The sequence below is a fragment of the Homo sapiens genome, chromosome 9 (genome assembly GCF_000001405.40).
Source record: "Homo sapiens chromosome 9, GRCh38.p14 Primary Assembly".
Classification (NCBI taxonomy): Eukaryota; Metazoa; Chordata; class Mammalia; order Primates; family Hominidae; genus Homo; species Homo sapiens.
Window position 1 is genome coordinate 94575284 of NC_000009.12, and position 26822 is coordinate 94602105.

The window sequence follows — 26822 nt, forward strand, 5'->3', positions numbered from 1 at the left end:
AGTCACTATCACCTCCTGCCAAAGGTAACCTCTATTCTCACCTTTATCACCAAATCTAACTTTATCTGGTTTGGAACATCATCTAAATGAAATGACACTGCATATGTTCTTTTGTATGGCTTATGATTTTCAAGTTTATTTCTTTGCAATTTTACCTATGTTGTTATACATAGCAGTTTGTTCTTTTTCATTGCTATGTAGTTTTCTGTTGTATGACTATATCACAATTTATTTCTCCATTCTCATGTTGATATGCATTTGGATTTTTCTGGTTTGGGGCTACTATGACTAATTTCTCCATCTTTGGGCAGACACAGAATTCCTTTCTTCTGTGTGGGTCCCAGGAGTGAAATTGCTTGGCCATAGTGTGTAAATATCTGTTTAGCATTAGTAGGTCCTATCAAATGTTTTCCAAAGTAGTTATACTATTTGATAGTCCCACCAATGAGGTATAAGAATTCCAGTTTCTTTGCCAACACTTGGTATGCTTAGTCTTTTTAGATTTAGCCACTCTGGAAGAGGAGAATGGTGTCTCACTGTGGTTTTAATTTCCATCTTCCTAACGTAACTGGGCAGCTTAACTTCATAATATATTTTAAAACATTTTTCCCTTCTCTTGGGTTTCAAGATATAACCTTGAAGCAAACTGCAGAAGTCTTTTCTCTTAGCTATAAAATAGCTCCCTTTCTCACCATATATACTCCCTGCACATTTAGCTAACTGCATGCTAGTATCTATTATGTGCCTTCTTAGAAGTTCCAGGAGGTAATCTTGAGACGGACAGACCAAGCATGGAGACCTAGCTGCAAAATTCCAGAGATTACTTCCATGCAGCTAATTAACAACTCGGCCACTGTTGAGATGATGTCAGCCTGAGGTCCAGGTGGACTGGCACCAAAGATAATCATAAAAACAAGACCCAGAGATACTGTACTCAGCACAATTCTCTTGCATGCCCTCCTTAATCAAGTTTTCCTCTTTTAAACCCCTCCCTTCCCCCGAAATAGTCAAAGTGGTTGCTTTGATGGGAATCTGGCCACTTCCCCTTTACTAGTTGTGGTTAATAAAGTCACTTTCTATCTACCAGGCCTCACTCTTGTTAACTGGACTCTGCAGGCAGTGAGCATGTGGACCTGCATTCAGTTACAATTTTAGTGGCCCATACAGTGTGCTCTGGGGGCCCAAGCCCATGGTCTGGTTTCTATTGGACAGGGCCTGTGGGGCTGCCTGTAGGCTCCAGTTGCTTGTGGCTACCTGACCCCTTGGCTGGAATGCTAGGGAGTCTCCTGCAGCTGCCTAGATGCTTTTGTCTTGGGGATCCTCTCTTTCTCTTCCTGCTGCAGTGCCTGCTACCTCCAATATTTCACTGGTGCACTGAAAGTGACTTTTAGAGAAGTGACAAACTTTGGAATTTTGGAACTTTGAAACTTCGGAACTTGGTGAGTTAGTCGGAGTGCATTTGACCACCATCTGCCTCTTTTGGGATGTCACTGGGACTCTGCTCTATTTAGACTTGGCCACTAGTGACACCATTTGAGCATTTTATGCATTTGTATTTGTTTGTATTTGTGGCACCCTTGGGGCCTTGCTGGGTTCAGGCTGTTCCAGGGCTGGGGTTGGGGGGGCATTGGAAACTGAGGTGAGGGATTTGGGACTCTACTCAGCCCTCCCTCCCCCCACTTCTTCCAAGTCATCCTCCTGATAATCTTGGGGCACCCACAGCCTTATTCCTCTTGGCCAAAAGCACCCACAGCTCCCTCTGGCTAGAAACATTTCACCTTGACTGGTGACTTGCAAAGGTGGGAAGGGTTCATCCCACACCATGTAGGTCTGGGGCACTGAGGCTCTCCCTGACAGGAGATACACCCGGGTGGTGAGGGTACTGACCCCAAGCCTTGCAGTGGCTGAAAGGCTCACAAGCCTCCCCTCCTTCCTTTCTCTTTCCTCTTCCTTCCTGTAAAACTTGACCTTTGTCCTCTACATCTCTTTCTTTTCTTTTTCTCATTTCCTGTCCAATCCAGGGGTTCAGCCTTGAAGGAGAAAAACAGTTTCCAACATCATGGCCTCTGATTTTGTCATCTTCTCTGGGACTGGTTACATATTCTGGCCCATTTTTGTGCACATTTTAAACTGATGGGCAAATTACAACAAGAAAAATTCAGAGTTCAAATGGTTAACCTACACTGTGGAGTTAAGTAGAATCTTCTTTAGCTCTCTACCTTCCTCTCTTTTCTGCCTGCTTTAAATCTGCTGTTATTAAACTGCTGGCGCGAGACAAGACTCATTATTTATGGTCTAAATTGAATATAAACATTGAAAACTCATTTGAAACTGAACAGCAAAAAGGGGAAAAGATTTAAAAAGAAAAAAACCCAAACTGCCATAGAGACTGCTTTACCCCAAATTTTGGCTGCCAGCTTTCCTTGGATTACCTATCAGGGCAAACAAAGTTAGCCACGTGGACAGCTTCCAGTTTTGTCAGAAAAACAACTTGAAGCCAGCTTTTATAGGTCAGTGAGTTTGTGATGCTATCTCATGATTAGAGTTCTCAGATAAAAGCTCTTAGACCTTTGTTTGTGTATGGATGTATACATGTTTAGATATGTTTATGTAATGTACATGTTATAGTTATGTTCTGTCGTGTCTAGCATGCTACCAAATTGGCTTTATAAGTAAGTGAGTACACATAAATTAAGTTCAAATGCTTTCCAAGTTCGCATGAATCTTTGATAAATAAAACTGGCTTCAAAAATTATTAGTAAAATAAAAACAAAAATGCCTTCAGAATCATCAGCATACATTTGTGTCTAAGCAAATAAATTTTGTATTTGTCTCTGCTAAATGTTTAAAGTGTCAGGGTTTGGCGCAAAGATTGTAAGATTATAACCCAGCCAAACACAGAGTAATCTTTGTGTAATTTTTTTGACAAATAAGACTAAGTTAGGATTGTTAGTTCAATGAAAGCAACTGAATCCTCTGAGCTATTGGCAAAATGACCATGGATTTAACTTTGAGGTTCTTACTTAGGTGTTCACCTAATGTTCGGACTTTTAAAATGGTTAACAGGGAAATAACTTTAAATAATGACTAACTTTGTATAATATCTGTTTTCAGAAAGAATCTAGATAAACTTAAAGATTAAAAAATTAAATACACATAAATGAAATATGTTTTTTAAGTGAATTTTTTCTGTAATTTAAAATCTTAAAATTATTTTAAATTAAATAATAAATGCTTATTGGATGTCTGGTTTACTTCTAATTTTTTAAAAATTATAATAAATTATGGGACTAATTTACAATAAAATATGGGAAAACATGGTTCTAAAATTGTGAAATGACTTCATCTATAAAATGCTAACATCTGACAAACCGTTCAGGACTTCTTGCTTACTAAGTTTCCACTAAAATTTAAAGTTAGTAGAAATAAAAATTCTAATGACTATATAATTCTATGAATTGTATTCGTATTGTAAAAATAATTTTATAGGCTGGACGTGGTGGCTCAGGCCTGTAATCCCAGCACTTTGGAAGGCTGAGGCAGGCGGATCACAAGGTCAGGAGATCGAGACCATCCTGGCTAACACGGTGAAACCCAGTCTCTACTAAAAATACAAAAAATTAGCTGGGTGTGGTGGCGGGCACCTGTAGTCCCAGCTACTCAGGAGGCTGAGGCAGGAGAATGGCGTGAACCCGGAAGGCGGAGCTTGCAGTGAGCGGAGCTTGCACCACTGCACTCCAGCCTGGGCAACAGAGAGAGACTCTGTCAAAAAAAAAAAAAAAAAAAGGTTATTTTAAAAGAGAGAATAATTTTATATATTAAAAAAAAAACTTGGCCAGGCACGGTGGCTTATGCCTGTAATCCCAGCATTTTGGGAGGCCAAGGCGGGCAGATAACGAGGTCAGGAGATGGAGACCATCCTGGCTAACATGGTGAAACCCCGTCTCTACTAAAAATACACAAAATTAGCCGGGCGTGGTGCCGGGCGCCTGTAGTCCCAGCTACTCAGGAGGCTGAGGCAGGAGAATGGTGTGAACCCAGTAGGCGGAGCTTGCAGTGAGCCGAGATTATGCCACCGCACTCCAGCCTGGGCGACAGAGTGAGACTCTGTCTCAAAAAAAAAAAAAAAAAAAAAAAGTTGTATGGTAAATTCTTGTCCTAAAAATAATGACTGATATCTAAAGAAACAAAATTCAGGACAAGTCAAAAAGTTTAAGCATGTCATAAATGGTTTGTATAAATTGTATTAAAGTTTGTGGAGAATTTATAAAAGAATTTTGCATGTGATTAAGTTACCTATAATTAAAAGGGGATTCTTTATAATAGCCCCCTATGTTTAAAGCAAGGTTGTCTGTCTTAAGGTATTTATTTGCTCCTAATAACAAGAAATTTTACTTTTATAACCTCTTTCTCTTAAAAACTTCTCAGAATCATATCTCAGAAGTTTGGCTTTGCTGTGTCTTGCTGCTTTCAGCTTTTTCTCCCCTTGAGAAGGCCTGAGAGGATAACTCTCTCATTCAGCTTTTTCCTCAACTCTTGTGATCTTTTTCCTCCAATTTTATTATTATGGCCTGGCACTAAAACATTTTATCTTAAAGGTCTAGAAAAGCAATGTTTTCCTACATTATTACTTGATTCTGTACTTTCCTTGATATGTCTAAATTTGTCAATATGATTAGAAAGCTTCTCATGCAGTTACTGAGAATTATCTATTTCCCTGATACACTCACAGTTTGACTTCCAGGTTATCCAAATAGGCTTCCCCTAAAGAGAAGCAGCTACACTGCAGGTTTTTCTTTCCCTGTCTGGTAATTCACTTAAGAAACAACATTTTACATTTTATCAAAATAATTCCTATGTTGTCTTTATTAGGTTTTAATTGCTTAGAAAAGTTGAGATCTAAAAGGGTTAAAGTTTGTACAACCATATAACGTTCTGTATTGCCTTTTATTTGTTTGTTTGTTTGAGACAGAATCTTGCTCTGTTGCTCAGGCTGCAGTACAGTGGCACAATCTCAGCTCACTGCAATCACCGCCTCCTAGGTTCAAGTGATTCTCATGCCTCAGCCTCTCAAGTGGCTGGTCCAACACGCCCAGCTAATTTTTGTATTTTTAGCAGAGACAGTGTTTAGCCATGTTGGCCAGGCTGGTCTTGAACTCCTGGCCTCAAGTGATCCACCTGCCTCAGCCTCCCAAAGTGATGGGATTACAGGTGTGAGCCACCATGCCCAGCCTGGATTGCCTTTTCAATCTTTCAATTATCACTCTGGTTAAATGAGCAACTATTGTTTAACAATGACCTACAGTTCTGTTTTAATCAATTGTTTTGAGCCTTTTAACATCTTTAACTTTTTCAAAATTGAATCCTAAATTAAGTTTCTGACTTTCTGCTGGGGTTTACCAAAGCTATAAAAATTAATCACCACTAGGTTTTAAAATCATTTTACAGGTTCCAGACAGGTCAAAGTCTCTAGTATCACTACCTCTAGTCCCTAAAAAAGGCCCTTATCAGGTACTATTAACAAATCCTTGTGCAGTTAAGTTACAGGGCTTTGACTCCTGGGTGCACATATTTCATCTAAAGAAGGCATTGGCTCCTGCCAGTATCTGATACCAAACTCAAGCTAACCAAAGCCTTGTCTCTGGATCCAGGCAAAGGTGACAATCAAAGTCACCTGCTTTAATGAGACACAAGGACAGCCTTGTAGTCAAAACCAGTAAGATTAATTTATTAATTTTGCCTCTGTCTAAAGTAATATGATTTATTCTATGCCTTAATACCAAATAATTAAAATGCTTAACTACCTATAAGCCTCCTTTCCTGTCATTCTCAGAACTAGGCTGGGCTTATGATACTTTAAAACATTACTAATTCTTTGTATTTTGTTTTACCTCCAGAATTGAAACTATTCAATCCCCCAGGCCTAAAGACTATAGTGGAAGAAGTGAGCGTCTGACATAGTAAGGGCCAGTCTTATGGGATCAAATTAATTCAGAGCCTCCAAATCCAGGACGGACACAGAGAGGCTTCAACAGCTGAACAAAAGGCTTGTGTTTTGTGCAGCTAAGTGCTACTAGCCAAGCTCACAGTAGCTCGATGTATAGATTTGTAGATAAGTCAATTTTGGAAGCTTGCCTTTTGGCTTTGGGTTTTTGGCTTTTACATTGCTTAAAAGGGGTTTTAAGGTTAATGAATGCCTGGCCACCTCCATTCCCATCTGGCCTGGAACATTTAACTGGCTTCCACTGTTTTGACTCTAAGTCCCTGGGCCATAGGGGTCCCATCGAGGAACATCATGGACCCTGGGAAGGTAACCATACCACCCCAGCATCCACATGGGACAAAATAAAAGCTTGGCCATCAATACTGCCCCCGGAATACCTTGACAAAAAAGGGAGAATATAAACTAAAATAAAATCCTAAGCCTCTCAACAGACTGAATGGACCTGCCTCTTGGCCGAAGGAAATCCCCAGATAAACTGAAAAACAAGTTCAGGCCATGGCAGGAAGCGGGATCAGACAGGCCTCCCTATACCTTCCCCCACTTTTTGGAATTAGGCACAACTGAAAACCCTAAGATTGACAAAATAGGCTGTTTGTCACAATAAAATACCCAATTAGAAACGGGACCTAAGGCCACGCCAGGCAAGGGTTAGTCACTCACTCCTATTTTGAAGAGGAAACCATGTCCTAACTGCCATAGGTTTTTCTTTTTCTCTAGCAGCCAAACAAGCGCTGGCCTTAAGATCAGCTGACTAACTCACCCCCAGGCTCTTGTTCCACCAGCCAAGACTACAGCTTTAATTAGACAAAAGACTAAATTTCAGTAGCTCTCCTGATAAAAGACCACCAACCATGGGCTAGGTCTGGCCAGTTTACAGAAAGCACACACTGTGTGCCTTTATGTCCTAGAAAGATCTTTTGATATACAGGACCTAAATGGAATACATTCCACCCCAAAATAAACATGGGTCATACATGCATATTTATTCAATACACATATGTCAGGACCATCTTCATAAATATTCATAGCTCCTCCTATAATCTGTTAAATATGTGTGTGTGTGCGTGTGTGTGTGTGTGTGTGTGTGTGTGTGTGTGTGTATAGTTTGTTTGTTTTGAGAGGGAGTCTTGCTCTGTTGCCCAGGCTGGAGTGCAGCAGTGCAATCTCAACTCACTATAACTTCCACCTCCAGGTTCAAGCAATTCTCATGTCTCAGCCGAGTAGCTGGGACCACAGTCACATGCCACCACTCTTGGCTAATTTTTTTTTTTTTTTTTTGAGACGGAGTCTCGCTCTGTCACCCAGGCTAGAGTGCAGTGGCGCGATCTTGGCTCACTACAAGCTCTGCCTCCTGGGTTCACGCCATTCTCCTGCCTCAGCCTCCCAAGTAGCTGGGACTACAGGCACCCACCACCACGCCCGGCTAATTTTTTTGTATTTTTAGTAGAGGCAGGGTTTCACCATGTTAGCCAGGATGGTCTCGATCTCCTGACCTCGTGATTCGCCCGCCTCGGCCTCCCAAATTGCTGGGATTACAGGCATGAGCCACCCTTCCCAGCCCCCTTTTTTTTTTTTTTTTTTTTTGAGACACAGTTTCACTCTTGTTGCCCAGGCTGGAGTGCAATGGCGCAATCTCAGCTCACTGCAACCTCTGCCCCCGGGTTCAAGCAATTCTCCTGTCTCAGCCTCCTGAGTAGCAGGGATTATAGGCGCCCGCCACTATGCCCAGCTAATTTTTGGTATTTTTAGTAGAGATGGAGTTTCACCATGTTGGCCAGGCTGGTCTCAAACTCCTGACCTCAGGTGATCCACCCACCTCAGCCTCCCAAAATGCTGGGATTACAGGCATGAGCCACCATGCCCAGCCTGTTAAATATGTATATTTTGCCAACCTGTTGTCAAGCCCCACAGGAACCCCAAATATAATTGACAGTGGGGACCATGAAGTATAAGTAAAACTAAGTGCTGTACATACTTCCTGAATAATGCCCAAAACATACCCTCAGCCCCACAAGACACAGAAAAGCAAACTGCTACTATGTCTTAATCCCACAATGTCTTTAAATCATATGGCTTTAGATATCCTAACTACAACCCAAGGCAACACTTGTGCATGAATTAAGGCTGAGAATTAGATATCTACCAGATTATTCTCACAATATAACCCAAACTATACAGGCCTTAAATACTCATATTTCTGCCATAGATTCCCTATCTCAAGACTCTGTAAGAGCACGGTTTAATCAACTTCCTAATACATAGAAGACTCTCAAATACAATGTAACTGGCACTCTGCTTATTTTTCTCTTTGGTTGCTATGGATTGTTTGTTTGAGAGAGTCTTGCTCTGTCACCCAGGCTGGAGTGCAGTGGCATGATCTCAGCTCACTGCAACCTGCACTTCCTGGGTTCAAGCAATTCTCTTGCCTCAGCCTCCTGAGTAGCTGGAATTACAGGCGTGCACCATCACCCTGGCTAATTTTTGTATTTTTAGTAGAGACGGGGTTTCACCATGTTTCCCAGACTGGTCTCGACCACCTAGCCTCAAGGCCTCAAGTGATCCGCCCGCCTCAGCCTCCCAAAGTTCTGGGATTACAGGCGTGAGCCACCGCAGCTGGCGAGGTTGCTATGGATTTTATTGCCGTTGTACACTTTATATAGAATGAAGGACAAGTTTTCTGAATTGTGAAGTTTCTAGTCCTGCTGGATGTCACAAACCCACCCAGCTCTCTGTTGCTAGGATTTCAGGGTAGGCAGAATGGCCCAAAAGATATGCCAGTCCCCAGGATCTGTGAATACCCAGCATTACATGGCAACAAAGACTTTTCAGGTGTACTCAGGGGTTCAGATTTCAAATAGGGAGATCACCGTGGACCTTCCAGGTTAGATTAGTTCAATCTAATCCAATGAGCGTTAGCAGAAAACTTTCTGTGGCTGGGGACAGGAGAGATGAGGCAAGAGGGGGAGAGGATGTCAGAGATTCAGAATGCCACCTGGAACCTAATGCCATGTCTGACATTTGTGTTGCACCCAGACTTTCAAAACAAGATCTCAGCTGTCCTTCTGTGTTACCCTCCCAGGAATGCCAGAAAGTAGGCAGAGAAAGAATCGCCAATCCAGTTCTTCTAATGAGGAGCCCCAGGCAGAGAAAAGTTGGTGGTTTGCCTACAGTGGCTTTTCTCGTTAGTGGGAAGACAAAGGGTAGGACTCCAAACACACGGTTTTCAGCCCAGGAACCTTCCAGAGACCACCACAGGAAGGAGGTGTAAAATGTCAGCCTGTCTACTCACCTTTCTATAGATGGCAAAGATGGTTCCGATGGAGGCCAGGCAGTCAATATTGGAAGATCCATCCAGTGGGTCAAAGCAGACCACGTATTTCCCCTAAATCAGAGAGGAAAGCACCAACTGATCAGCACATCTTCCCATTAGCACAATTGCTCTGTGTCAGGGCTGTGCGTGGCAGAGTACACCACATCAAAAAGAGATTGAGAACCACAGCATATCTTTATCAAAAAACACCATGACTTACGGAGGGCAGGGTGCCAGTTTATACACAAATACTCCTCTGGGTTTTGTATCCATCTCACCTGTCTGATGCGAAGACCAGAAGATAAAGTGGGTGTGTCTTGAGAGACCAACGTCCCCCACACCCACCCACTCTGCTGTCACAGGCAGCTCAAGCCACCAAGGGAAGCCCCAGGTCCTTTTTATAGCCCCCTGTGTGCAAGGTCACGAGAGACCCTTAGTGATGGCGACCGGAACCCCCAGGCCAATTAAACACGGGTAATGCAACTTCAAGAGAAATGAGGGTCATTTCTCCCTCCACTTGATTTAGTTTTCCCTGACTTTCCAATGAGTATTGGCCTAGCTTCATTTGAGCTTTGTTTCTGTTTTTTTTCCTTGCTCAGCCAGAGTAGAAAAGTTAGATAATTTGTAAACTTGGAAATTCCCCAACATCTCTATAATAATCCAATTTTTTAAAAAAAAATCCAATTTAGCCCATTCATTCATGCATGCATGCATTCAGCAGATACATGTTGAGCTTCCAGCATATGCTGGGAAGTAAGTGTTCAAGGCCCTGGGGTTTGTTTCCGGGGGGTCAGCGATCCCGGCAGCAAGGCTGGATTTCATGGCACTGACATTCCAGTGGGAGAACAGACAGAGAGCACACAGGTCAGGACACATACAAGCAGGCTGTGGCACGTGCCCTAACGAAAACCCACATAGGCTGGGGGCTGGAGAGCCATGAGGGGGGGTCACATTTGATGACAGACCTGACTAGAATTAAGGAATGAAGAAACACACAGAGACCTAGAAAGCAAAATTGTTTGTTTTCTTGTTTTTGTTTTGTTTTGACAGAGTCTCACTCTGTTGCCCAGGATGGAGTGCAGTGGTGTGGTCAGAGCTCGCTGCAGCCTAGAGATCCTGGGCTCAAGCAATCCTCCCACCTCAGACTCCCAAGTAGCTGGGACTACAGGTGCACACCACCATGCCGAGCTAAATTTTTATCTTTTGTATCTTTATGTTGCCTAGGCTGGTCTCAAACTCCTGAGCTCAAGCAATTCTCCCACCTCAGACTCCCGAGTAGCTGGGACTACAGGTGCACACCACCATGCCGAGCTAAATTTTTATCTTTTGTATCTTTATGTTGCCTAGGCTGGTCTCAAACTCCTGAGCTCAAGCAATCCTCCCACCTCAGCCTCCCAAAGCACCGGGATTGCAGGCGTGAGCCACCGCGCCCATCCTAGAAAGAAGAATTTTCGACAGAGAGATCAGCAGGTTTGGAGTATTCAAGAGCTGCCACGGGCCAGGCATGGTGGCTCACGCCTGTAATCCCAGCACTTTGGGAGCCTGAGGCGGGTGGATCACCTGAGGTCAGAGTTCAAGACCAGCCTGGCCAACATGGCGAAACCCCGTCTCTACTAAAAACACAAAAATTAGCGGGGCATGGTGGCGCATGCCTGTAATCCCAGCTACTCAGGAGGCTGAGGCGGGAGAATTGCTTGAACCCGGGAGGCAGAGGTTACAGTGAGCTGAGATTGCGCCATTGCACTCCAGCCTGTCCAGCCGGGCAGTAGAGCAAGACTCCGTCTCAAAAAAATAAATAAATAAGTAAATAAATAAATAAAGGAACTGACATGAAGACCTATGTGGCTATGTGGCTTAGGCCAATAGGAGAAGACAATGGTAGATCAGACTGGAGAGAGAAACAAGAGTCATATCAACTGAAACTGAAAGTTGGAAGTAATAGTGTGATGTAGCTAAAATTATGTGAGACGAGGGCAAAAGTGCCTTTTGCAGTACCTGGCATAGAGCAGAGGTTAAATAAATTTGGCTTTACTTTAAATTCTTTTCCATTCCTCCAGCTAATCACAAAGAAATGGCCTCTTGTCTATTGACTATATTGCAGCTGAACATTGATTGAAACTTTTGGCCATTGGCAAACCTCTCTGTATAATAAGCTGTGTGTGAACCCATAGTGAATGCAGACCCTCCCCAGCCGTGCCTTCCTTCACCGACTTCACCATCCTACGAGGTAAGAGCACAGGAGGCTTGTGGTTTTGTTTCTGGACCAGTCTAACAGCTTGTCAGGCACTAAGAAATCTCTGCTGAAACTGTAACCCCTCGCAAAGTGCCGGCTGGGGGCGGGGGTGGAATGAGAAGGCGGGGCGGTGAGAGGCTGTACAGTACAGCTCTTCCCTGGACTCCACAAGGTTAAGCCCCCAAAAATTTGGCTCTTGTTACTGATTAAGTGAACAGCCACGAACAAGCGCCCACTGAGGCGGTTCCTGCATCACTCTGAACAATTTCCTGAATGAATCACTGTCCTACTGTGGAGTCTTCTTTCTCTAGACAGCACAAGATTTCCAAGTAGAGAAGTATGTAATCCTTTGTTTCCAGAAAACAAATGTTAAGAAATAGAGGAGAATCCCGGGAATTAAAGAAAAGTAAGGCAGCTTATTTCCGGCTCAGTATCATCATCTACTGGCGAGCGGGCACCGCAGCCCCATGACGCACCCGCTTCTCCTTGGCGGTGATGATGGCGTCCTTATTCTCTTCTGAGACCAGGACGCAGGTACTATAGGAGGATTGGACCATGTTGATCACCAGGGAATTGGATAGCACATCCAGTTTCTTCACCTCATCTCCCGTCACGTTAACGCTTCCTGCGATTCCATACCTGAGAAGACAAAAGGCTGAATGAGGAAGTCACTAGGGGGTCTTAACTCCAGCAAAGAGCCTGGGACCCTAAAACGCCAGCAGTGCAGTCCCCTCTCGTTCTGTGTCTCTGGAGTCTCCAAGTCACACGTGCAGAAGAAGGCGATTATGCCTGGCAGGATACCTCTCAGCCTTGCCTCCCTTACACCTTGGAGTCGTTGTCATATTTTCTTAGCCTTCCAATGAGATGACCCAGGACTCAGTCTCACTAAAACACAAACCCAGTCTCAGCACGAGGAGATGGAGCAGATGGGGGGACTCATCAAATCAGACCCATTGCCATAACTGAGGACTCCAAAAGTAAAGGACTGTGGCCTCCAGCTCCTGGAATTTGTTTTTTCTTTTTTCCTTTTTTTTTTGAAACGGAGTCTTGCTCTGTCGCCCAGGCTGGAGTGCAGTGGCACGAACTCTGCTCACTGCAAGCTCCGCCTCCTGGGCTCACGCCGTTCTCCTGCCTCAGCCTCCGGAGTAGCTGGGACTACAGGCGCCCGCCACCACGCCCGGCTAATTTTTTTCTGTATTTTTAGTAGAGACGGGGTTTCACCATGTTAGCCAGGATGGTCTTGATCTCCTGACCTGGTGATCCACCCGCCTCAGCCTCCCAAAGTGCTGGGATTACAGGCATGAGCCACCATGCCCGGCCAAGCCCTGGAATTTCAAGTCTTTGTGGATTGTCCTCACACAGTGCCCTGCTGGAATGAATTAAAATTGCCCTGTGGTAGCTTGGTGTTACTTGAACTGAGAAGGAAATGTGGGGGCAGACTTATTTCATTTTTTTCTTCACTGCCATCCCAAGCAGTATAAGAGAGTGCTACTACGAGAATTCTATGCCAGTCAGGGCCAGGGCCTCGTGCCTGTAATCCCAGCACTGTGGGAGGCCAAGGCGTGTAGGTCGCTTGAGCCCAGGAGTTCAAGACCAGTCTGGGCAACACAGTGAGACCCTGTCTTTACAAAAAAATACAAAAATTAGCTGGATGTGGTGGCACACACCTGTAGTCCCAGCTACTTTGGAGGCTGAGATGAAAGGATCATCTAAGCCTGGGGAGGTGGAGGTTGCAGTGAGCTGTGATCACGCCACTGCACTGCAGCCTGAGCGATGGAGGGAGACCCTCAAAATAATTCTATCTAGAGGCTTTGGGTTTTAGAGCATTCATATGCAAAGGTCTCCCCACTTCCACCCTCGCCCCTTCAGGGGGTTCTCAACACACCAGCAGGAGGGGTCCTCCTAAAGTGCCCCCAGTCTTACCCAGAGGCAAAATCCAAGTCCCCGCAAGTGGGTGTCAGGCACCACCGTGGAATCTCTGCGCCCGGGTTGGCATGGCTGCCCGTCTCTCTCATCCTCACAGGGTCAGCCCCAGCCTCTGAAACCTCCAAGGCACACACCTGCCTTGTGACTGACTGCCCAGTGGCCTTGCTGCCCCACCTGGGACACTCTTCCTCAAGAGCCATGTGACGGCCACCCCAGTCAAGCTTTGGCTCAAGGATCATCTCTCAGTAGTGCCTTCTCTGGCCGTCTGTTTGGAGCAGCATTCCCTGGTCCCCAACATCTTACTCGATGCATTTTCTCCTCTGCCCTGACCACCATCTAGGTCCTGTTTATTGTCTGTGAGCTTCCACAATGGCAGGATTTTTTTTTCCATTCTGAGGGAAGCCGTATCCTTCATGTGTCCACCCTGCACCACTACAGCAAGGCTCAGCCACCCCGCCACCCTCTCACGTTCCAACAGCCGCAGATGTCCCTGGGCCAGCACCCAGCAAGCGGCTCTGGTCCTTCTCGCCTTCACTAATGGTGTTCCCACCACAGCAGTGCTCTCTGCCCGGCTTTCTTCCTGCTATTCCTCCTTTTCCTCTCTGGGACGCCTCCCTGGTCCTCTCAAGTGGGCCCCACACACCAGAAACACCCCATCATCCCTCCTCAGTGTTCACCACACTCACGGACTGGCTTCCTGCTGCATGACCTGCTTGCAGAGGGCAGGATCCATCCTTCTGTCTGTTTCTGCAGTGCCCAGACACACAGCCCATGCTCCATGTCTGCTCACTGAGTTATGAGGAAAGGATGGCAAGAAAGGAATTTCCTTTGCCTACTGATGTGAATGCTATTTATTTGTTGAAGGAAATCTCAGGTGGTTCTAACAGGTAGCCAGGGTTGAGAACCACTGATCTACCTTAAGCTGGGGGCAAACTCATTTCCCACCCTCTTCCCTGAACAGCACCCCCACCTCACCCCCCAACACCAACCCCCACCCACAGCACATCATTTGGTGTCTGAGGAACCATGACGTGAGCAGTCAGCTGTCTTGGAAAACACTCCTAGCAGCCTCACCCCAAAGACTGTGCCTCCTGGTCAAGACAAAAGCAAGCAAGCAACAGCAGCAACAAAACTAGGCTGACTGCATCTGAGTTTCAGGGGACCACAAACACAGGCCTTGGTTCGATATGGAATCTGAATGCGCTTGCCACTGGAGGATGAACAGCAGGCCCAGGCCTGCGGTGGGCAGAGCTGAGAAACAGCCTCTGTCCTGCGCTTTGCAAATGCCCCCTCATCCGCCTAACCCCACCCCTCAGCCGACCCCCTGCACCCTCTCTCCAGGCACTGGGCAGCACCCCTCCTCCTAGAAAGAATGGAAACTCACCAGGAGATGTGAGTTCCCGGCAATAGCTTCACCTGAGATGATGGGGGAAAGGGGCTCTCTAGCCCGTAGGACAGTATCTTGCAGTGTTCTGACTGACACTAAAGCTAACTAACAGTCTCTAAAGGAATGATCCCCCACGGCCATGAGAAAGCCAAGGAGAGGCTCCAGGCGGGCACTCCAGCCTCTCTTGTTCCCACCATAAGAAGAGGAAAGAGAAGGGGAAAAGGAGACTCTCATAACTTTTAAATTGCATTCACGGAGCCCTTGCTAGAAAGATCTCCCCAAAAGGAGCCAGGGGCTTGCGGTCCCCTGCCTGGGTGGTGGTGTGTCCGGAATTGGTAGGTTCTTGGTCTCACTGACTTCAAGAATGAAGCCGCGGACCCTCGCGGTGAGTGTTACAGCTCTTAAGGTGGCGCATCTGGAGTTGTTCGTTCCTCCCAGTGGGCTCGTGGTCTCACTGGGCTCAGAAGTGAAGCTGCAGATCTTCGCGGTGAGTGTTACAGATCATAAAAGCAGCGTGGACCCAAAGAGTGAGCAGCAGCAAGAGCGAAAGAACAAAGCCTCCACAGTGTGGAAAGAGACCCAAACGGGTTGCCGATGCTGGTTTAGGCAGCCTGCTTTTATTCTCTTATCTGGCCCACCCACATCCTGCTGATTGGTAGAGCCGAGTGGCCTGTTTTGTCAGGGCGCTGATTGGTGCGTTTACAATCCCTGAGCTACATACAAAGGTTCTCCACGTCCCCATCAGATTAGTTAGATACAGAGTTTCCACACACAGGTTCTCCAAGGCCCCACCAGAGCAGCTAGATACAGAGTGTCGATTGGTGCACTCACAAACCTTGAGCTAAACACAGGGTGCTGATTGGTGTATTTACAATCCCTGAGCTAGATATAAAGACTCTCCACGTCCCCACCAGACTCAGGAGCCCAGCTGGCTTCACCTAGTGGATCCCGCACCGGGGCTGCAGGTGGAGCTGCCTGCCAGTCCTGCGCCGTGCGCGCGCATTCCTCAGCCCTTGGGTGGTCGATGGGACTGAGCGCTGTGGAGCGGGGGGTGGCGCTCGTCGGGGAGGCTCGGGCCGCACAGGAGCCCATGGAGTGGATGGGAGGCTCAGGCATGGCGGGCTGCAGGTCCCGAGCCCTGCCCCGCGGGAAGGCACCTAAGGCCCAGCGAGAAATCGAGCGCAGCGCCAGTGGGCCAGCACTGCTGGGGGACTCAGTACACCCTCCGCAGCCACTGGCCCGGGTGCTAAGTCCCCCATTGCCGGGGGCCAGCAGGGCTGGCTGGCTGCTCGGAGTGCGGGCCCGCCAAGCCCACGCCCACCCGGAACTCCAGCTGGCCCGCAAGCGCCGCACGCAGCCCCAGTTCCCGCTCGCACCTCTCCCTCCACACCTCCCTGAAAGCTGAGGGAGTGGGCTCCAGCCTTGGCCAGCCCAGAAAGTGGCTCCCACAGTGCAGTGGGGGGCTGAAAGGCTCCTCAAATGCCGCCAGTGGTCATTGACGGCTCAGGCACAGGCAAATCTGGTCTGGGCTTGGAACCGCGGTAGTGACAGGCACTGTGCGTGTCTTACGGGGCCGGCACAGTTGAAATCGTCATCACATGCGCTCGCTAACTCTGCAACAACCCTAAGAGTTAGGGATGCTACTATACTCTCCATTTCACAAAGGGAATCTAAGGTCCTAGCAAGAGTAAATCACGCCCATTATCACACGGTAGGAAATGCCAAATTAATAAGCACCTCAATTATCCAGTTCCTAGGGCCACTTTGTCTCCTTGCTCAACCGCCATAAAGTCAGAGTTTTGCAGCAGATAAGCAAGACCCCTACCATGGCAGCCACTGCCTAGCCAAGAGCCCTGCACAGAGGGGGAGCCCAATTTATGTGGATGAATCACCCTGAGATGGACTCAGGCAACCGCATTGAGGATAGCAGGGTCCGCACAGGGAGAGGCAAAGTCCCTGTCTACCGTCACTCAGCAGGGCTGTCACCCACAGGAGCAGAACAGGGCACCGCCTGCCCTCACATTCTGGAAGGCGATTAAATGCAGAGCGTGGCTGTTATTGCCAAATGAGGTAAAAACAGAGCTGAAGCATCCACCCACAGGAAAAAAGCAAGGATAATGCACCGTTAACCTGGGTCCTGCTACTGGGTCACCACCCCTAAATAAATACAGTCTGTGGTGATCAAATGATAATTACATCTTGTAATCTAATGCTATCACTTTTTGTGTTAAAAGCACTTAATTGCTCAGAGTAAATATTTTAAATGATTGGACTTTGTTAGCTCCTCATTTTGAGTCTCTTTCATCCCCAAAATATGTGTTCCTTCAGCTCCTGAGAGGACCTCCCCTGGAATTACTACAAGGGAAGCCCAAAGAAAGCTGGGGTTTTGTTTGTTTGTTTGTATGTTTTGAGATGGAATCTCGTCCTGTCACCCAGGCTGGAGTGCAGTGGTACGATCTCGACTCACCGCAACCTCCATCTCCCAGGTTCAAGCGATTCTCCTGCCTCAGCCTCCCGAGTAGCCGGGACTACAGGCGCCCGCCACCACACCCAACTAATTTTTGTATTTTTAGTAGAGACAGGGTTTCAACATGTTGGCCAGGATGGTCTTGATCTCTTGACCTCATGATCCACCCACCTTGGCCTCCCAAAGTGCCAGGATTACAGACAGGAGCCACCGTGCCTGGCCACCGGATTCTTTTTATTACAGACTTAAACTGGACACTGGGCTGTGACCATCAGCAGTGTAATGTGAACCTGGCCTCATCTATGCTCGGATAAAGCACCAAAGAGAACCCTGTGGAAGAAACCTCTGCGCTCCCCTCCCAGGACTAGCACCTCCCGGCTTCCTGCACACCAAGTGGAGGTGAAGATAAAGAAAGAGTCACAGAGAAGAAATAAAACACGTAGCCAGCAAAACACTCCTTTAGATGATGAGAGAGCAGATGCAGGAAGGGGCTCTACCAAGCTTCCTATGTCGTACATAATTTCCAGCTCCTAACATATTTGCAAAGCTTATTACAATAAAACACTCATGTCTGCAAGAGGCATAAAGAGATATTTCACGTCACCCCTCTACTTCTTTGTTCCAGTGAGACTCTCTCTGTGCAAGTACAAGTCATGATAACACAATACATATTTTAATGCAACAAGCCACTGCACTTGGTATCATTATAATAACTGGAAAAATTATATGTGTATTTCTTCATAGCATGTTTTCGTTCCTTTCTCAAAACAAGTCAAAGGCCCCTTTATCAAAGCACACATGATAGGAACTTGAAATGCAGCTTCCATCTAGGGCACACAGGGCCAATAAGCTTTGGACCCAGTTTCTTGCCAAAGCACCTGCAGCTCCCACACCCCTGCCTGGGCCTGGGGTGCTCTGTGCCCCATGCCTGCTCCCCAGGACTCACAGGTGGGCCAGACCGGCCTTGCGCACAGCCGAGGAGATGGCTTTGATGGCCGTCAGCATTGAGTTCAGCAGCTGGGTGAGCTCCCCAGTCCCTTTGGCCTGACGCCCCTTTTCCATAACGTAGCGGGTCAGGGTGAGCATGTCGGTTTCGAAGGGGCTTCTGTCCGTCATTTTGGCTGGAATGCTTCAAATCCTTTTCTCCCGGCAGGAAACCTTGCTTACTTCTGAGGGCTGCAGCTCCGCAGTGTGGAAGCCGATAAGAAATCTGTGCTGGCCCTGCCAGGATCTCTAAGGAAAAGGGCCCAAAACACATGACTCAAACAACTGCTGGGGCCCTCAAGGAACTCCCTCTGGCCTCGGGGACTGTGGCAGCTGCCAGGGAGCCGCAGCAGTCTGTAAATAGGACGGGCTGCCCAGAAACATGGAGCTGCTTTCTCCTGCTGAGCACCCCCTTTCAAGATACCAAGAAGCCACCATTTAGGCACAGGTGGGAGGTGAGAAATCCAGTTGATTAAAAAATGATGCATAAAACCCTCTTATTCCAGGCTCCAAAGGATTCTTCACATATAGTGACTGCAGGGCCTGGCTCTCCCGAGGGCGGAGGTGGCAGATTCGCAGGTTCCTTATCTGGGACGTAGGTCACATAGTAACATAATGGCAACCCCAGAATTCCTTTAGCCAGGGTTTGGAATAAGTTAGGAAAGAATGCTTTTTATTTCCAGTAGGCATGTATGACCAGTGGATATCCACAGTAGAGATCCAGATCCGGAAGAAAACTATTATATTCCTAGCACAGTTCCTGGCACCAGTGTTATTTTGTCAATATCTCTGGATGTCCACTTTTGTAACAAAAATTGCTTGTTAAAAAGGAAACACTAAAGAAGTGGATAAAGACAAACCTCCTCACCACCAGCCCATTCTCCCATCCCACTCTCCAGAAATCACTGCTGCTAGGGCTGGTGGCGGTCTGTGCAGCCAGTAGGCACTGGTGGGGTGCATATGGTGGTGGAAGCACTTTCTCTAGGGCCAGCCAGACCTGGCTGTGAGTCCCAAGCTAGCTATCTGTTGGTTGCATGATTTGAGAAAGTTATTAAACCCCTTGGAACCTCAGTTGTCTCACTCTTAAATGAGCATAACCGTGAAGCATCCATCTTATAGAGTGGCTGCAATGAGATGTACCTAGTATAGTAGGTGCTCAGTACTTTGTTACCTATTATTGCCCTTCCAGTTTTTTTTTTTTTTTTTTTTTTTTTTTTTGAGATGGAGTCTCACTCTGTCGCCCAGGCTGGAGTGCAGTGGCGTGATCTCGGCTCACTGCAAGCTCCGCCTTCCAGGTTCACGCTATTCTCCTGCCTCAGCCTCCCGAGTAGCTGGGACTACAGGCGCCTGCCACGACGCTTGGCTAATTTTTTGTATTTTTAGTAGAGACGGGGTTTCACCGTGTTAGCCAGGATGGTCTCGATTTCCTGACCTCGTGATCCGCCCGCCTCGGCCTCCCAAAGTGCTGGGATTACAGGCGTGAGCCATCACGCCCAGCCGCCCTTCCAGTCTTTCAATGTGCTCACAACTATTGTGCAATCATACATAATCTCATTTCACAAAACAGTACAACATGCACATTTCTCTGAAGGTCTTTTCCCCTGACAGTTATGTCGATTAGAATGTGTTCAGCTGCAAGAAATAGAACAACTAGAGCAATTTACACGTGGGGGTTTATTTCCTCATAGACCAGGAGTGCACTAGGAGGTGGTGGCTGGTGTTCATTCAGCTGTTCTTGGTTCCACTGGGACCCCTCTCTGTCTCGTCTCTGTCATCCTTGGTCGGCTGGATTGTGCCCCTTGCTTGGCATCCTGGGGGCACAAAATGTCACTGCAGTTCTGAACATCTGGCCCACGTTGAAGATGCAAAGAGGGGAGCAAGGGCAGCTCCAACCACATCAGTTCCTTTTTATTAAGAAAGAACAGTTTCCCTGGAACCCATCCTCCCACCCCCGTAGACGTCCCTGTGCACAGCGTCTGCCAGATCAGGGTCGTGTGGTGATGCCTGCAGTGGGAGCTGGGCGCTGGCATTGGATCAACCAAACTGGTTGAGGAGGGCAACCAAATGGTTGAGATGGGCATTGGTGCTCACAATTTATGTGGAAACTTTCAGATAAAACTAACATCTACCAGTAGATCTTAATATGCAGGTTTAAGATCCCAAATATATATATATGTTATTTATATATGTTTTTAGTTCCAGAAAGCAAATATTATGGGAAGATGTCCAAGTCAGCACACAGAGGCTTGGATCATTCCAGCTTGCGGACATTCAGATAATTTAGGTAAGTTGGCTCCTCAAATAGTAATGCAACAAACATCCTTATATTGGGGCAAGTGCTTCAGTAAGATACAACCCCAGAAGAGGAACTGCTATGTGACAATGTTCTAATTCTTTTCGCGGGGGTGTGGGGGGGTCTATCTTCACTTACCAAGAAATATGCTACCTCTTAATAGAACAAATACAGGATCCCATACCCTTTTTGTGATTTTCATTCAATCTATTTCAACTTTCAACACTGAGGTGAATGGATAGATGGAGACAGATGACACCTCTATCTCAGTATGTGGCACACATTAATCCACCCAATTATTTGATCCAGTAGTGCTATTTTTACAGATGAGGAAACTAGGGCTTCCTAGGGATAACACAGCTACTAGCTAGAATCTCAGCCCAGAGCTACCTGAGGTTAGCGTTCTTTCTCTTATATGATACTTTCTCCCATTCTAGGATGCTCCTCCTCCCTAGATGACTGAGCACCATACACGACAATGCACATATGCCTGTTAACACAATTAGAACATAGAATAAGACATGAGCTTAGAATTGAGTTCTAACAAGAGAGATCGCTATGTATAATAAAACAAGAACATCTGCCTGGGTCAGACCAGAGTATTGCTAAATCTATACCCAAAGGAAAGAAGCCTGGGCCGGGAATCAAAGCCCTCCGGGACTCAGATGCCTCAATTTAAAAATGAGATCCAGCTGAGCACAGTGGCTCACACCTGTAATCCCAGCACTTTGGGAGGCCAAGGCAGGGGGATCACTTGAGCCCAGGAGTTCAAGACCAGCCTGGCCAACATGGTGAAACCCCATCTCTATAAAAAAAATACAAAAATTAGCCAGTGTAGTGGCGTGCACCTGTAGTCCCAGCTACTCAGGAGGCTGAGGTGGGAGGATCACTTGAACCTGGGAGGCAGAGGTTGCCGTGAGCCAAGATGGCACCACTGCACTGCAGCCTGGGTGACATTGAGAGTCTGTCTCAAAAAAAAAAAAAAAATGGGATTAGACTTCATGATCCCTAACTGTATTATCTTCACTTAGTTTTAAAAACACACATTTTCGGCCAGGTGCAGTGACTCACACCTGTAATCCCAGCACTTTGGGAGGCCAAGGCAGGCGGATCACGAGGTCAGGAGATCGAGACCATACTGGCTAACGTGGAGAAACTCCATCTCTACTAAAAATACAAAAAACTAGCTGGGCATGGTGGTGTGCACCTGTAGTCCTAGCTCCTTAGGAGGCTGAGGCAGGAGAATTGCTTGAACCTGGGAGGCGAAGGTTGCAGCGAGCCGAGATCGCACCATTGCACTCCAGCCTGGACAACAGAGTGAGACTCCATCTCAAAAAAAAAAAAAAGAAGAAGAAGAAAAGAAAAGACATATTATCACTGCTTCCAAGTGTTTCTGAATCCAAATGAAAAGTGGTTGCCTTCATCATTCAGAACAATACTGTCACATTGAGAAATATGCTGGGGAAAAAAAGTTATTAGCAAGAGAGCCTTCTGCAATGGCTTCACTTCTGTCAGTTGCTAAGGGTAAGGTAAAGACTTGGGTATCATTTCTAGCTCATGTTTCTTCTGGAAGGTGCTCCACTGCCAACATAATAATCAATCCAACTTCCCTATTGGAAGCTGGAGAAAGGGCCATTCCAGTGTGTTTTACTCTGTGTGTTCCTGTTTAATGAAAGACTCATCTAAATAGAGATGCCACTTTGTATTAATCTGTTCACCCCATCTGACACTCAGTATCAGTTTAATAATAATAATAAGCTAATAACAGGAGTTATCATTTTTTGGGTAAGAACATTTTAATTTTGATATCATGAGGATCAAACTTGGAAAACTCTTCCTTTCCCAAGAGCTCTGGGAATTGTGAAAACTGCGGAATGGACCTTTCCTTGATCCTAACACGTCATGTTGCCATTAACAAATAAGCTTTGCCTTTCACATGGGGAAACCAATGATGATTCCTTTGACATCACTACAGAAATAGAGTGGCTGGATCTTCCAAGTTCTGGTCCAGTAAATGACTGCAGGGTGAAGACGGAGGCCTGGTTGATTAGTTTTCAGGTTTCATTTTGAAGCTAATGTTATCTGATTAAGAAGGTCTCCGGCTGGGCACGGTGGCTCACACCTGTAATCCCAGCACTTTGGGAGGCCGAAGCAGGCAGATCACGAGGTCAGGAGATCAAGACCATCCTGGCTAACACGCATCTCTACTAAAAACACAGAAAAAAATTAGCCGGGCATGGTGGCGGGCACCTGTAGTCCCAGCTACTCGGGAGGCTGAGGCAGGAGAATGGCGTGAACCCAGGAGGCAGAGCTCGCAGTGAGCTGAGATTGTGCCACTGCACTCCAGCCTGGGCGACAGAGCAAGACTCTGTCTCAAAACAAAAAAAAAGAAGGTTTCCCCTGTGATGGCGCAAAACAATGCTGAAAATGTGTATTCACACAAAAACCCACACACAGATGTTTATAGCAGTTCTAGTTAAACTAGAAACTGCAAACACCCAAAATCTCCTTAACAGTGAATGGGTAAACACACTGGGAGAGCCATACAACGGAATACTATTTTTTTTGAGGCGGAGTCTCGCTCTGTTGCCCAGGCTGGGGTGCAGTGGCATGACCTCGGCCTCCCGGGTTCACGCCATTCTCCTGCCTCAGCCTCCTGAGTAGCTGGGACAACAGGCACCTGCCACCACGCCCGGCTAATTTTGTTTTTGTATTTTTAGTAGAGACGGGGTTTCACCGTATTAGCCAGGATGGTCTCAATCTCCTGACCTCGTGATCCGCCCGCCTCGGCCTCCCAAAGTGCTGGGATTAAAGGCATGAGCCACTGCGCCCGGCCACAATGGAATACTATTAACAACACAAACACTAGTGTCACGTGTGGCACTTAGGCGAGTCTCAGAGGCATTGTGCTGAGTGACAGCAGTGGTCTCCAGCGAGTATCTACAGTCTCATTCCATTTGTAGGGGACTCTCCAGAATGCAAACCTGTGGGGACAGATAACTCTCATGGCTGCCAGGGGTAGGGGTGTGGGGAGGGGACAGGGCAATGGGGGTTTGCATGATAGAACAGTTCTAGACCCCAATTATAGTCATAATCCCAATTTCAAATTTTGCAAACTGAAATTCTGTACCCATTAAACAAGAACTCCCCATTCCCCCTCCCAACACCTAGTCCCTGGCACCCGCCATTCTGCTGTCTCTATGAATTTGGCTACACTGGGTCCCTCATAGACCATACAGTATCTGTCCTGCTGCGACTGGCTTATTTCACTCAGCACAATGTCCTCACCATCCCCGCATGCTGTGGCATGGGTCAGAGTTCCCTCCTCTCTGAGGCTCAACAGCATTCCCTGGTATGGACACGCCACAGTCTGTTCACCCATTCATCCTCTATGGCCGCTTGGGTTGCCTCCACCTCTGGGCTAGTGTGAGTAATGCTGCCATGAGCACAGCGTGCAAACATCTGTTCAAGGCCCTGCTTTTGATTCTCTCGGGGATGTGCCCAGAGGTGGACCTGCAGGATCATATGGTAATTGTCTGTCTAATTTCTGGAGGAACTGCTGCACCATTTTCCACAGCGGCTGCACCATTTCACACTCCCCAGCAGTGAGCAAGAGTCCCAGGGTCTCCACCTTATTGCCAGCACTTGTTATTTTCTGTTTGTTTGTTTTTACAGTAACCATCCCAATGGGTGTGAGGTGGTATCTCACTGTGGCTTAGAGTAGTTGCATCTTCCTAATGATTAGTGATGTTGAGCAGGTGCTTATTAGCCACTCCTGTAATTATTTTTATTATGCTTTTTGTTTGTTTTGTTTTTTGAGACAGAGTCTCGCTGTGTTGCCCAGACTGGAGTGCCGTGGCACGATCTCGGCTCACTGCAACCTCCATCTTCCAGGTTCAAGTGATTCTCCCATCTCAGCTCACGAGTAGCTGGGACTACAGGCACGCACCACCATGCCTGGCTACCTTTTGTATTTTTAGTAGAGATGGGGTTTCATGATATTGGGCAGGCTGGTCTCAAACTCCTGACCTCAGGTGATAAGCCTGTCTTGGCCTCCCAAAGTGCTGGGATTATAGGCGTGAGCCACTGCGCTCGGCTTATTATGTTTTATTAACATATCTGTTCACAACAGATTGGAAGTGAAACAAACAAGCCAGTGTTATGAGCAGATCTCTGGAGAGGCGCCGGTTGTCCGGCACTGTGGGTGTCAAGGATGAGCAGAAGCCTGGATAATTTGGGGATCAGGAGGGAGGGGGATTGGCCAGTGCCATGTATAAGTCAGCTCCCCCCGTAAAGGGATCCAAGGGAGGGCCTGCTATTTCTGCCACCCTCCAGCCCAGGCTGGCACCTGTGCAGCTGTCATGCCCCTTTCAGCTACATTTAAATGTTGGAAGTTCGAGTTACCTACATGATCTGAAATTGCAGCTGGTGACCTTTCAGCAAATGCCAAAGTTCTTTCAGGGCACACAACAGCGTGGACACACGGGGCATCTGGAAGGCCCAGAGGAAGGGGGGGGCAGCGTCCAGCTCACGCTTTTTTCAGCGCCACTGATGCATTGGTGATCACAGAGCTATTTATGGGCTTGCTGTGCTTGGTGAAAGGCCCTCACAGGCCTGGGCGGAAGTAGTAAGGACAAACAGAGTCTCTGAACAGTAAGGCAGTCTTAGGGCAGTTCATAGGGCGGGGCCCCCACCTGAAGTCTAGGATCTGGACTGTGACTCTACAGTACTAGCTGAGAGCATATTCTCTGTTAGCAAAACTCTGTTAGAATGCCTTCCATGCCCCGTCTCCAGTGATCTCAACAAACGCTCTTTCATGAAACCTCAGCATTTCTGCTTCCAGCACGGCAGACCCTTTAGGGTATCTGCTCAGCCCACGATCCCCATCTAAGAGAGAGGCGTGCCCTGCCCATAAAAAGAAAACCCAAGGCCACGTTTGTCTTATATGACCCGGGTCTATGGCTGCAGCTAACTGGACACAAGCTAAGACGTCAGGTTTTTTTCTCCGGGGAACTTGGTGTGAGACATGGAGACACAGTGGATTGGCTGACAATGCCAGGACGGACTAAGGGTGTGTCCTCGGGGTTAGGAAAGCAGTGGGTGCTAGGTTTCATGAGAGTCCCCTGAAGCTTTCCAACAAATTGCCTTTCTGCTTTAGCAGAATAAATGGGTTTCTGTTACCTACGATGAAAATGGCCTTGACTACAATAGATATTACAATTAACATTTTGCAAATGAAGAAAGGGAGACTCAGAGAGGTTAAAAATATTGCCAAGCTTGGTCTAGTTTAGTCAGGATAGCGTATGTTATCGTGCAGCAACAAATAAACCTGAAATCCCCACGGCTTAGCACAGCAAAGGTTTGTCTCTCCTTCTGGTCCCAGGCTGACATCGACATGGCGGTGGCTTAGGCCTCCAGGCTCCTGCCATGTCATGAACCTGTACAAAAATGCATGGCTTCAGAGGAGGACCCATCCTAATGTAGGTAATCTAGGCTCATCTCATCTTAATCCTTACTTTAATTAGATCTGCAAAGACCCTCATTCTTTTTTCTTTTTTTTTTTTTTTTTTTGAGACGAGTCTCGCTCTGTCGCCCAGGCTGCAGTGCAGTGGTGTGATCTCGGCTCACTGCAAGCTCTGCCTCCCGGGTTCATGCCATTCTCCTGCCTCAGCCTCCTGAGTAGCTGGGACTACAGGCGCCCGCCACCACGCCCAACTATTTTTTGTATTTTTAGTAGAGACGGGGTTTCACTGTGTTAGCCAGGATGGTCTTGATCTCCTGACCTTGTGATCCGCCCGCCCGCCTTGGCCTCCCAAAGTGCTGGGATTACAGGTGTGAGCCACTGCACCCTGATATATATATGGAAAAGGCTCCCAGACCATATTTCTCTCCCTTCATGCTTTGAGAACCAGATGCCAGCTGAGTTACAAGAAGTTTAAAACTCAAGAGGTGCTTTGTGCGTCAGGGGACTTTCCCAGAGGGCAGCCCCAGCTGGAGTGGAGAAATATTGGCTTTGGGTCTGTCTGGTCAGTGGGCAGAAGCAGATCCAATGCTCAAGATCAATTTCCTGCTGGGAAAATGTGAAATGAATGGGGAGTGTTTGGAGGGGAAGAAGCAGGATTCACATACACACATGTTTTCAGTTCCCAAGTGGAATCATATGGATAGATCCATTTTATATCTAGAGCTCAAGGAGGGCCACAGGTGTTACTTAGTGC

The 26822-nt window shown here is 47.1% G+C and overlaps 1 protein-coding gene across 1 annotated transcript in view, besides 3 other annotated features; it reads right to left on the reverse strand.

The window, feature by feature from the left end:
- The window catches only part of FBP2 (fructose-bisphosphatase 2), a 35105-nt gene extending 16564 nt beyond the window's left edge, over positions 1 to 18541 (reverse strand). The window contains exons 1-3 of the mRNA NM_003837.4: positions 18274 to 18541; positions 12024 to 12186; positions 9294 to 9386 (exon numbers count right to left, since the gene is read on the reverse strand). Of these exons, the coding sequence (NP_003828.2) occupies positions 9294 to 9386; positions 12024 to 12186; positions 18274 to 18443 (426 nt within the window). The 5' untranslated portion in view covers positions 18444 to 18541. The remainder of the gene's footprint in view (positions 1 to 9293; positions 9387 to 12023; positions 12187 to 18273) is intronic.
- Positions 12228 to 12729: an enhancer, noted in NCBI's record as "H3K4me1 hESC enhancer chr9:97349793-97350294 (GRCh37/hg19 assembly coordinates)". NCBI's record gives its function as "activates a minimal SCP1, AML or CMV promoter by ChIP-STARR-seq in primed H9 embryonic stem cells {active_cell/tissue: H9 hESC(primed)}" and the evidence as "EXISTENCE:reporter gene assay evidence [ECO:0000049][PMID:30033119]".
- Positions 12730 to 13229: an enhancer, noted in NCBI's record as "H3K4me1 hESC enhancer chr9:97350295-97350794 (GRCh37/hg19 assembly coordinates)". NCBI's record gives its function as "activates a minimal SCP1, AML or CMV promoter by ChIP-STARR-seq in primed H9 embryonic stem cells {active_cell/tissue: H9 hESC(primed)}" and the evidence as "EXISTENCE:reporter gene assay evidence [ECO:0000049][PMID:30033119]".
- Positions 16008 to 16550: an enhancer, noted in NCBI's record as "H3K27ac-H3K4me1 hESC enhancer chr9:97353573-97354115 (GRCh37/hg19 assembly coordinates)". NCBI's record gives its function as "activates a minimal SCP1, AML or CMV promoter by ChIP-STARR-seq in naive H9 embryonic stem cells {active_cell/tissue: H9 hESC(naive)}" and the evidence as "EXISTENCE:reporter gene assay evidence [ECO:0000049][PMID:30033119]".